This window comes from Homo sapiens, chromosome 1 (assembly GCF_000001405.40).
Source record: "Homo sapiens chromosome 1, GRCh38.p14 Primary Assembly".
Classification (NCBI taxonomy): Eukaryota; Metazoa; Chordata; class Mammalia; order Primates; family Hominidae; genus Homo; species Homo sapiens.
The window spans coordinates 221,954,768-221,966,315 of record NC_000001.11 but is presented as its reverse complement, the minus strand read 5'-3'; the positions used below and the strand labels follow the sequence as shown (position 1 = coordinate 221,966,315).

The 11,548-nt window shown below is 39.5% G+C and overlaps 1 long non-coding RNA gene across 1 annotated transcript in view, besides 1 other annotated feature; it reads left to right on the top strand.

Moving 5' to 3' along the window:
* Positions 1 to 11,548, top strand: part of LINC02257 (long intergenic non-protein coding RNA 2257) — a 64,876-nt gene that overhangs the window by 12,205 nt on the left and 41,123 nt on the right. The gene's annotated exons all lie outside the window — the stretch shown is intronic.
* Positions 220 to 832: an enhancer, noted in NCBI's record as "NANOG-H3K27ac hESC enhancer chr1:222138826-222139438 (GRCh37/hg19 assembly coordinates)". NCBI's record gives its function as "activates a minimal SCP1, AML or CMV promoter by ChIP-STARR-seq in naive H9 embryonic stem cells {active_cell/tissue: H9 hESC(naive)}" and the evidence as "EXISTENCE:reporter gene assay evidence [ECO:0000049][PMID:30033119]".

The window sequence follows — 11,548 nt, the reverse complement described above, 5'->3', positions numbered from 1 at the left end:
GTGTGAGCAACATGGCTGTTTATTTCACCTGGGTGCAGGTGGGCTGAGTCCGAAAAGAGAGTCAATGAAGGGAGATAGGGGTGGGGCCGTTTTATAGGATTTGGGAAGGTAATGGAAAATTACAGTCAAAGGGGGTTTGTTCTCTGGTGGGCAGGGGCGGGGGAGTGGGGGCACAAGCTGCTCAGTGGGGGAGCTTCTGAGCCAGGAGAAGGAAATTCACAGCGTTAATCACTCAGTTAAGGTGGGGCAGGAACAAATCACAATGGTGGAATGTCATCAGTTAAGGTCGGGCAGGGTCTTTCACTTCTTTTGTGATTCTTCAGTTACTTCAGGCCATCTGGGCACAAGTCACAGGGGATGCGATGGCTTGGCTTGGGCTCAGAGGCCTGACAATAAGTTGTCTCATTGTAAAATAAGGTTAATAATAAATAATAATAATAATTCACATTGTAATTACAAGCATTCAATGAAATGGTGCATATAAAGCGCTTAGCACAGTGCTAGGTGCATGTGGCTAACACTCAATTAGTGGTAGAGATGATTAATAATATTGTTACCCTGAAAGTAACAGAACTAAACAGAAAACTGGGGGAACATTTTCAGGGCATTCATGCTTGTGATATCTCCTTCACTTGTGTAAAATATGAAGACGTTTCCTCTGTGTTCCTGAACTGTTGGGGTTTTGTTTTCTGTGCCCCAATAGGAATATTGCCTATTTCTCAGTGTTGTGCAGATTTTAAAAGATAACACAGGCAAAGAGCCTGACAAAGAATAGGTGCTCAGAACACATTATTTTATCCTTATTTCCTCATTGGATTTACCCTTTGAGCTGCCTGCTCAAATCATGGTGTTGACAAAATGAGTCAAACTCTGTAAAATATTTCAAGAGTTTTATTCTGAGCCAAATATGAGTTTCCATGGCCCATGAAAGAGCCGTAAGAGATCTTGAGAACCTGTGCCAAAGGTAGTCAGGCTACAGCTTGGTTTTATACATTTTAGGGAGACACAATACATTAGATGTCGATCTAATTTATTAATTAATATACATTAGATGTCGATCACTACTTTTAAGATGACATGGGTTGTGTCTGGAAAGGTGGACAAATCAAAGGTGTGGGGGGACTTCCAGGTCTTAGGTGGATTCAAAGATTTTCTGATTGGCAATTGGTTGAGTTTATCAAAAGGCCTGGAATCAATAGAAGGGAGTGACTGAGTTAAGATAAGGGGTTGAGGAGACCAAGGTTTTTATTATGCAGATGAAACCTCTAGGTAGCAGGCTTCAGAGATAATAGTAAATGTTTCTTATAAGACTTAAAAAGGTGCCAGACTCTTAATTCTCTCCTGGATCAGGAAAAAGACCTGGAAAGGGAAGGGGATTCTCTATAGAATGTGGATTTTTCCCACAAGAAACAACTTTGCAGGGTCATTTCAAAATATGTCAAAGAAATATATTTTGGGGTAAAATACTTCTATTTATTTCAGGGCCTGCCATCTGTCATGTTGATATCTTACTGCTACAAAGAGTCTGTTTTGTCAATCTTAAAGTTGCTGTTTGAATGTAAATACTGGTCAGATGTGCCTGAATTCCACAGGGAGGAAAGTGTAATGTGACATGCCTGACCACCTATTCCCATCATGGCCTGAACTAGTGTTTCAGGTTTAGTGTTTTAGAAGGCCCTTGGCTGAGAGAAGGGGGTCCATTCAGTTGGTTGAGGGACTTAGAATTTTGTTTTTGGTTTAATGATGGCAATTTGATTTTTTTTTTTTTTTTTTTTTTTTGAGACGGAGTCTCGCTCTGTCGCCCAGGCTGGAGTGCAGTGGCGCGATCTCGGCTCACTGCAAGCTCCGCCTCCCGGGTTCACGCCATTCTCCTGCCTCAGCCTCCCAAGTAGCTGGGACTACAGGCGCCCGCTACCACGCCCGGCTAATTTTTTTTTTGTATTTTTAGTAGAGATGGGGTTTCACCGTGTTAGCCAGGATGGTCTCGATCTCCTGACCTCGTGATCCGCCCGCCTCGGCCTCCCAAAGTGCTGGGATTACAGGCGTGAGCCACCGCGCCCGGCCGGCAATTTGATTTCTATGTCCTAATTTGTTCTCTGAGATAGGGTTTCCACTTGGCTTCTTAATAAGATTCATTTAGTAGTCTCTAATTTGGTTGGAGACATTTCTTTCATTTTAATTCTCAGGAGCATTCTTTCTAGACTATTGGGTATCTCAAATGGCTTAAAATGTCAGGTTTGGGCCACAGTAATGTATTCTCTGTTTTTTTTAATCAGAAAGTGGATGACACGTGTGTGCATGTCAGCAAACTCTCATTATTAAAAAGTTCCCTCTGTCCTTTAGTCTTTGACTGTCATGAGCAAGGAGACCTTTGGCCAGGGTAATAAAGATGACTAATGATGGGGCTCAGGACATACTACCCCAAATATGCCTTTTTGGCCTAAGGATTATTTTGAGCTATTTTGGGAAATAGCAAACACAGAGAAGCTTTGAAAACAAATTAGTTTTGAAAACAGTTATGATTTCATAAGATAAATTTACATCTGTAAAGAAAACCTCCATTGTAAGGGTGTCTCCTTTCTGCATCAGAAAGAAAAGAAGAACTAATTCCCTAGAGAAGGCATCAACTTAAATCTAGTTATCAAATATTATGCTTCTTTAACGGTGCTTTTCCTGGCCAACTTTTCTTTTTCTTTTTTTTTTTTTTTTTTTTTGAGACAGAGTCTTACTCTGTCACCCAGGCCAGAATGCAGTGGCATGATCTTGGCCCACTGCAACCTCTGCCTCCTGGGTTCAAGCAATTCTCCTGCCTCAGCCTCCTGAATAGCTGGGATTACCGGCAACCACCACCACGCCTGGCTAATTTTTGTATTTTTAGTAGAGATGGAGTTTCAACATGTTGGCCAGACTGGTCTCGAACTCCTGACCTTGTGATCTGCCTGCCTCAGCCTCTCAAAGTGCCGAGATTACAGGTGTGAGCCACCATGCCCAGCCATGGCCAACATTTCTTAATTGCATCATTCCCCTCAGCCTTCTCTCTTTGTTTCAGAGAAGGATAGTACTTAAGGGTGAGGTCTAGGATAATTCTTTGAGATCTGCTGCAGAGATTTACTCATTTCTCTGGGTTGTCTCCCATAGGTACACATTTTATCAGAATTCTGTTTGTTTTTCTCTTGTTAATTTGTCTTTTTTACAGAGAAGCTCAGAAAAAACTCATCAAGGTGAAAGAGAAAATTTATTGTTTTCTCCCCTACACTTTCTGGAACTTGGGCTCTGAGGCTGCTCTGGCTTAATCGGTCAAGCATCTGGGTCCTGGGTCTGAGTTCAAATCCTGATCCTTCTTGCTGTGCAAGCTTGGGAGAACGATCTCACCAACCTTGCACAGGTACTGCCCGTTTAAGATGTAGACCATAGTCCCTTTATTACAGGACCTTGTATGGATTAAATGAGTTACTGGGTGAAAAGCGCTGAGAAGAGTGCCTGTCACAGAGTAACTGCTGTTATTGCAAGTAAAGAATCAGAACTATGCTAAATTCACAGTCAGCCTGGGAAAAATGTCAAAAGGAGTGCACATGAATGGTCAATGGACCAAAGACCCTTAGATTTGATAAAGATATGAGCTTTGTGTCTTATTTCCTAATGTTAAGTAAAAATTATGAAAGGCTATTGTTTTGTATTAGGCCCCAACAGACCAGACTAAAAATCAAAATGGAGTCACCCATGCCAAAGTTCCATATCACCAAACTGAAAATAAGTTGTTATTTCATCTTCCCCAAAATCAGGACAGAGCAGTAACAGCCAATGTTCCAAGCAGACCAGTTTCCGTCTTTAATGAGCAGGATAACGAAGTTCCCTCTGTTTTAATCCTTACAACAAAAGTAACCCGACGTAACCTGATGCTAACAAATCTGTTATTTCTCTATTGTTCTGTTTCCTTGTTCTCACCTTGTAAGGGAGGTAACTTTCAAAGGACGAGTCCACATTTTGTTCTTTGCTTCTGGTTTCTTCAACCCCCTCTGTCTATAAAATGAATCCCCTCTGCTCAACTCTTTGGGACACTTATTCTATTTTATGGAATGAGACATTGCCCAATCCTAGAATTGCAATAAAGCTAGTCGAGATCTTCAAACTAAACGTGTAATTTTGTCCTTTGGCAAATCTGGTGACCACAAAGGAAACTGAAGGAGACTGCTGAAAACCCTGAGACCTTCTGAGAAACATAGGAAAAATGCTGTAGTCCCTTTTGGAGGGGCGGGGGTGAAGGGGTTCCTCTGTCTTTCTCATGGAGCTCCAGGAGTCATAAGTAAGTTCCTCTCAGGTTGGAGCTCTGTTGTCTTTTGCATTTGAGCTCCCTAATATCTTTGGCCTTTGGGGTACAAAGGGTTAGTTTATATAGTGAAAGAGCACTTGACTGTGTGTTACCAAGGGTTGCTTTGTGCTGTGGCAGGGCACATGACCTTTCGGTTTGTGGTGACTGATGAGTCACTGGCAAAAAAGCTGCAGTTTTTAAGGTAACTGATGGCAGTTACAATAAGTAGTTATTACTGAAGGGGGGCTCTTTATTTTTTTCTCTTCTTATATGCTGAGGTCTTATAGCTAAAGCCATGTCAGCTCTAAGAGACCCAAGATCATACATAAAAATGGGATCCTTAATTTATAAATATCTGAGTACTTCGCCTTCTGGTGTACTTGCCTTTTTCATGTCTAGGAGCTATGACCTTGGAAGCTGCAAATATTTACAAAAGTGGCAAAATCTTACTAAAGATAATTCAGAATTACAGGGCCATTATATGGAACATTCCAGATGAATAAGGCTGTTCATTTGACAAGCATACTTAAATCTCAAGTCTCTCAAATTTAGCAGAGAGAATGTCATTCTAATTATTAATAGCATTCAGAAGCCTCAAAGAGACAGAATTCTAACTTTTTTTAAATTAATTGTGAAGAACTAATAAAAAGCTAAAAAGGCTGGGTGCAGTGGCTCATGCCTGTAATCCCAGCACTTTGGGAGGCCGAGGTGGGCGGATCACGAGGTCAGGAGTTTGAGACAAGCCTGGCCAATATGGTGAAACCCTGTCTCTACTAAAAATACAAAAATTAGCTGGGCATAGTGACATGCGCCTGTAGTCCCTGCTACTCAGGAGGCTGAGGCAGGAGAATCACTTGAACTCGGGAGGCAGAGGTTGCAGTGAGCCAAGATCGCACCCCTTCACTCTGGCCTGGGCGACAGAGCGAGACGCCATCACACACATACAAAAAAGCTAAAAATGCAAGATATCATCCACATCAAGAACAGTAAAACTGACAGAATTCCTACTGCTCCTCTCTATCCCACTTTGCCTGAGTATTTAGTCTACTAACTCTCAGTCTGACTTGGCTTTCTCCTCTGAAAACAAAACAAAACAAAACAAAATAAAACCACAATTAAACAGTTTGCTTAAAGCCACTCAAAAATTCAGGAAATAATCCCAGAGTGACTTACACTCCCTAGGTGATAATAGAACTCAGCGCCATAGTTAAAAATTTTGCTAAATCTAGGGAAGGCCTTCAAAAGGTTTCTGAAGAATTCAAGGTCTTAATTGAAATTTATGACCTCAAGATATTTGATCTTTACCAATTAATTCACATACTAGTGAAAACTGGTGAAGCCCAGAAATGGATAAAAGAGGCAGAATGGTATTACTGGACAAGCTCCTACCTGGTCCATGTATAGGCCTAACAAAACCTGAAAAATCACAATTGAGCATTTGAAAGCCATTTCCAATGTGTTTCAGCTCCACGCCAACCAACAACCTAGAATGGCCTTTGGGTCTACCCCAGAGCACTTCTTCAACAAGCAACCCCTAAAACAGCAGTTGCTATTGGTGCAAACAACCAGGACATTGGAAAAGAGGCTACTCCCAAAATTTCAAGGAAAGTCCCTAAAAACAGCCTTTTCACTCCCTGATAATTTCCATGTTAACTATCAGGATTGATGGGCCTTAGAGGGAGCTGCTCTAACCTTCTACCGGTTGTTATCCAATCTAGGTAGACACCAGAGCCACTATTTCCATTTTCAACCCCACTATTATAGGACAACCACTCCTTTGGATAAAGAAGAAAATTTATATTGTAGGGAATATGAAATCAAGTTCTATTCTTGAATCCAGGCATAGAAAATGCCTTTTTGCCATGTTAGTTACAGGGCTTCATCCTGAAGTCAGTAATCTAACTAACAAGTAAGATAAATTCAAAAGACTACCTATCAACTATATGGTCCAAAAAATTCAACTTTTGACATTTGACTGGCTATTTTGAAACTTTTTGTAAAAGATATTTATCTCTATAATGAAAACCTCCATTTGTAAGGGCCTGTCCCTCTATTCACCTAAACCCCTAAAAACTTTACAATGGTGAAGACATGGGTATAAAGTTTACATAATAAACCTTACCTTTAAGGTGCTTTTCCTGGCCATTTTGTCTCAACTGGACCTATATCTATGCTGTTCTTTGTCTGGGGAAGTAATGGTGTTGAGATCTAAGTTCTGTGCCTTTGAGATATAAATTTTCTACTTTGTTTTACCTAAGAGTCGTGTCTTCGAAAGTGCAAATTTAGGGTTGCCTAATTATTATTTAGGGCAATGAAACAGATGATTGGGAGATTTATGGTATAAAATGGAGAGAGAAACTATTTTAACATTGAGAAATAAATAATCTTATAAAAGCTATAAGACCTGCTTCTGTCTGTGTGTCTATATGTTCATATGGGTTATGTGTATGTGATATTTCTCTCTGAAAATATATTAACGAGCTGTAATTAATAGCTTAAAGGAAAAAGTAAGCACTTTAAAATATTTTATCAGAAAAGTAGAAATTAACTCAGATGCCTTTTAGTGCATGTGACTTGGGTAAATCTGACTAGTTTAATATTTTTGCTTTAACAAAAACAGCTGTGTCTTCTGATCAATAAAATAGCCATGTATTTAACTTTAGGGTACTTGCTTAGGTGGCTACTGCCTAACATTTGCACACTGTAAAAATAGTTAAAAGGGAAATAACTTGAGATGATGGCTAGTTTTCTTCAATGTCTCCTACAATTTTTATAAACAGTTCAAACATAAGTTTTAAAGATGAGTAAATTAGATGAATGTGAATGAGGTAAAAGTTTACATATAAGCTTTTTCAATGATTATGGGCGGGGTGTGATTGCACTTTGGGAGACCATAGCAGGAAGATTGCTTGAGCCCAGGAGTTTGAGACCAGCCTGGGCAACATAGTGAGACCATTCTCTACAAAAAAATTAAAAATTATTTGGGCATGGTGGTGAACATCTGTGGTCCTAGTTACTTGAGAGGCTGAGATGGGAGATCACTTAGGCCTGGGAGTTTGAGGCTGCAGTGAGCTGTGATCACCCCATTGAACTCCAGCCTGGGTAACATAGCAAGACCCCATCTCAGATTAAAAAAAAAAAAGGTCATGTTTTATAAAACTTCTCCCTTTAAAAATCGTCTTAAGAATCCCTTTTGTGGATAAATGAAATCTTAAATGTATGTTATATTGAATTAAGTAGTAAATATTCATTAAATGTCTGAGTCATTTCCAAAATAAGGTTAAATACTGAAACGTTAATTGTTAACAGAAGTTTATTTTTGGTTCCTTAAATTTATAAAATGACAAATTATATTTGAGCCTGATAGTAAATGTCACACATGTCTGTATAGAAGACCACCTAAAACACGCTTTGTGTGAGCAACAAGGCTGTTTATCCACTTGAGTGTAAATGGGCTGAGTCTGAAAAGAGAGTCAGCAAAGGGAGATACCAGAGGGACAGCTTTATAGGACTTGGGTAGGCAGTGGAAAGTTACAGTTGAAGGTGGTTATCTCTAGTCAGCAGGGGAGGGGGTCACAAGGTGCATGGTGGGGAGATCATGAAACCCATTGTCCAGGAGAAGAATGTCATAACGTCAATTCATCAGTTAGGGTAGAGCAGGAACAAGTCATAATGGTGGAATGTTGTAGGGTTGGTTAATCAGCAAAGGCAGAAACTGGCTGTTTCACTTCTTTTGTGGTTTTTTGGCTGCTCCAGACTTCTTGGCTCCTGCAGGCCATCTGGATGTATATGTGTAGGTCACAGGGGTTACAGTGGCTTAACTCCGGCTCAAAGGGTTGACATTCTTGTCTTGTATTTATAAAATAAAAAGTCATAAGGAAAGATAAATAATATAAGTTCCTTCTGGGTTTTTTTGGAGGGGGGTAGAGGCGATGTTTCTCAGGGCTGCTTCAGGCATGACCAGGGACTGCTTGTGGACACCTTAAAGAAAATTTAATTTTATAATGAGTTAGTCCAGTAAGTTTTGGGTCTAGAGCACATTTTTATGTGGCTACCAAGGTGCCAGTTAGCATATTTTTGAGACTGGAACTGCCCTAATAAAATAAGTTCGCTAAAAATAGTAATCAGGCATATTAGCTTTAATGTAGGTGGTGATAAGTTTTTAGGCCAGGGGAGGAACAAAGTTTTTTTCTTTTTTTTATATATATATTATACTTTAAGTTCTAGGGTACATGTGCACAATGTGCACGTTTGTTACATAGGTGTACATGCGCCATGTTGGTTTGCTGTGCCATGTTGGTTTGCTGCACCCCGGGTCCAAGTTCTCATTGTTCAATTCCCACCTATGAGTGAGGACATGCGGTGTTTGGTTTTCTGTCCTTGTGATAGTTTGCTGAGAATGATGATTTCCAGCTTCATCCATGTCCTTGCAAAGGACATGAACTCATCCTTTTTTATGGCTGCATAGTATTCCATGGTGTGTATATGTGCCACATTTTCTTAATCCAGTCTATCATTGATGGACATTTGGGTTGGTTCCAAGTCTTTGCTATTGTGAATAGTTCTTCAATAAACATGTGTGTGTATGTATCTTTACAGTAGCATGATTTATAATACTTTGTGCATATCCCCAGTAATGGGATTGCTGGGTCAAATGTTATTTCTAGTTCTAGATCCTTCAGGAATTGTCACACTGTCTTCCACAATGGTTGAACTAGTTTACCTCCCACCAACAGTGTAAAAGCGTTCCTATTTCTTCACATCCTCTCCACCATCTGTTGTTTCCTGATTTTTTAATGATCGCCATTCTAACTGGTGTGAGATGGTATCTCATTGTGGTTTTGATTTGCATTTCTTTGATGACCAGTGATGATGAGCATTTTTTCATGTGTCTGTTGGCTGCATAAATGTCTTCTTTTGAGAAGTGTCTGCTCATATCCTTTGCCCACTTTCTGATGGGGTTGTTTTTTTTTTTCTGGTAAAATTTGTTTAAGTTATTTGTAGATTCTGGATATTAGCCCTTTGTCAGATGGGTAGATTGCAAAATTTTTCTCCCATTCTGTAGGTTTCCTGTTCACTCTGATGGTAGTTTCTTTCGCTGTGCAGAAGCTCTTTAGTTCAATTAGATTCCATTTGTCTATTTTGGCTTTTGTTGCCATTGCTTTTGGTGTTTTAGTCATGAAGTCCTTGCCCATGTCTGTGTCCTGATTGGTATTGTCTAGGTTTTCTTCTAGGGTTTTTATGGTTTTAGGTCTAACATTTAAGTCTTTAATCCATCTTTAATTAATTTTTGTATAAGGTGTAGGGAAGAGATCCAGTTTCAGCTTTCTACATATGGCTAGCCAGTTTTCCCAGCACCATTTATTAAATAGGGAATCCTTTCCTCATTTCTTGTTTTTGTCAGGTTTGTCAAAGATCAGATGGTGGTAGATGTGTAGTGTTATTTCCGAGGCCTCTCTTCTGTTCCATTGGTCTATCTCTCTGTTTTGGTACAAGTACCATGCTGTTTTGGTTACTGTAGCCTTGTAGTATAGTTTGAAGTCAGGTAGTGTGATGCCTCCAGCTTTGTTCTTTTTGCTTAGGATTATCTTGGCAATGTGGGCTCTTTTTTGGTTCCATATGAACTTTAAAGTAGTTTTTTCCAATTCTGTGAAGAAAGTCGTTGGTAGCTTGATGGGGATGGCATTAATCCTATAAATTACCTTGGGCAGTATGGCCATTTTCATGATATTGATTCTTCCTATCCATGAGGATGGAATGTTTTTCCATTTGTTTTTGTTTTCTTTTATTTCATCGAGCAGTGGTTTGTAGTTCTCCTTGAAAAGGTCCTTCACATCCCTTGTAAGTTGGATTCCTAGGTATTTTATTCTCTTTGTAGCAACTGTGAATGGGAGTTCTCTCATGATTTGGCTCTCTGTTTGTCTGTTATTGGTGTATAAGAATGCTTGTGATTTTTGCACATTGATTTTGTATCCTGAGACTTTGCTGAAGTTGCTTATCAGCTTAAGGAGATTTCAGGTTGAGACAATGGGATTTTCTAAATATACAATCACATCATCTGCAAGCAGGGACAATTTGACTTCCTCTTTTCCTAATTGAATACCCTTTATTTCTTTCTCTTGCCTGATCGTCCTGGCCAGAACTTCCAACAATATAGAAGTGGTGACAGAGGGCATCCCTGTCTTGTGCCAGTTTTCAAAGGGAATGCTTCCAGTTTTTGCCCATTCAGTATGATACTAGCTGTGGGTTTGTCATAAATAGCTCTTATTATTTTGAGATATGTTCCATCAATACCTAGTATATTGAGAGTGTTTAGCATGAAGAGCTGTTGAATTTTGTCAAAGGCCTTTTCTGCGTCTATTGAGATAATCATGTGTTTTTTTGTCATTGATTCTGTTTATGTGATGGATTAGGTTTATTGATGTGCATATGTTGAACCAGCCTTGCATCCCAGGGATGAAGCCAACTTGATCGTGGTAGATAAGCTTTTTGATGTGCTGCTGGATTCGGTTTGCCAGTATTTTATTGGGGATTTTTGCATCGATGTTCGTCAGGGCTATTGGTCTAAAATCCTCTTTTTTTGTTGTGTCTCTGCCAGGCTTTGTTATCAGGATGATGCTGGTCTCATAAAATGAGTTAGGGAAGATTCCCTCTTATTCTATTGATTGGAATAGTTTCAGAAGGAATGGTACCAGCTCCTCTTTTCACCTCTGGTAGAATTCGGCTCTGAATCCGTCTGGTCCTGGACTTTTTTTGGTTGGTAGGCTGTTAATTATTGCCTCAATTTCAGAACATGTTATTGGTCTATTCAGAGATTCAACTTCTTCCTGATTTAGTCTTAGGAGGTTGTATGTGTCCAGGAATTTATCCATTTCTTCTAGGTTTTCCAGTTTATTTGCATAGAGGTGTTTCAAGTATTCTCTGATGGTAGTTTGTATTTCTGTGGTATTGGTGGTGATATCCCCTTTATCATTTTTTATTGCATCTATTTGATTCTTCTCTCTTTTCTTCTTTATTAGTCTGGCTAGTGGTCTATCAATTTTGTTGATCTTTTAAAAAAAACAGCTCCTGGATTCATTGATTTTTTGAAGGTTTTTGTGTGTGTCTATCTCCTTCAGTTCTGCTCTGATCTTCGTTCTCCTTGCGTTCTGCTAGCTTTTGAATTTGTTTGCTCTTGCTTCTCTAGTTATTTTAGTTGTGATGTTAGGGCATCAGCTTTAGATATTTCCTGCTTTCTCT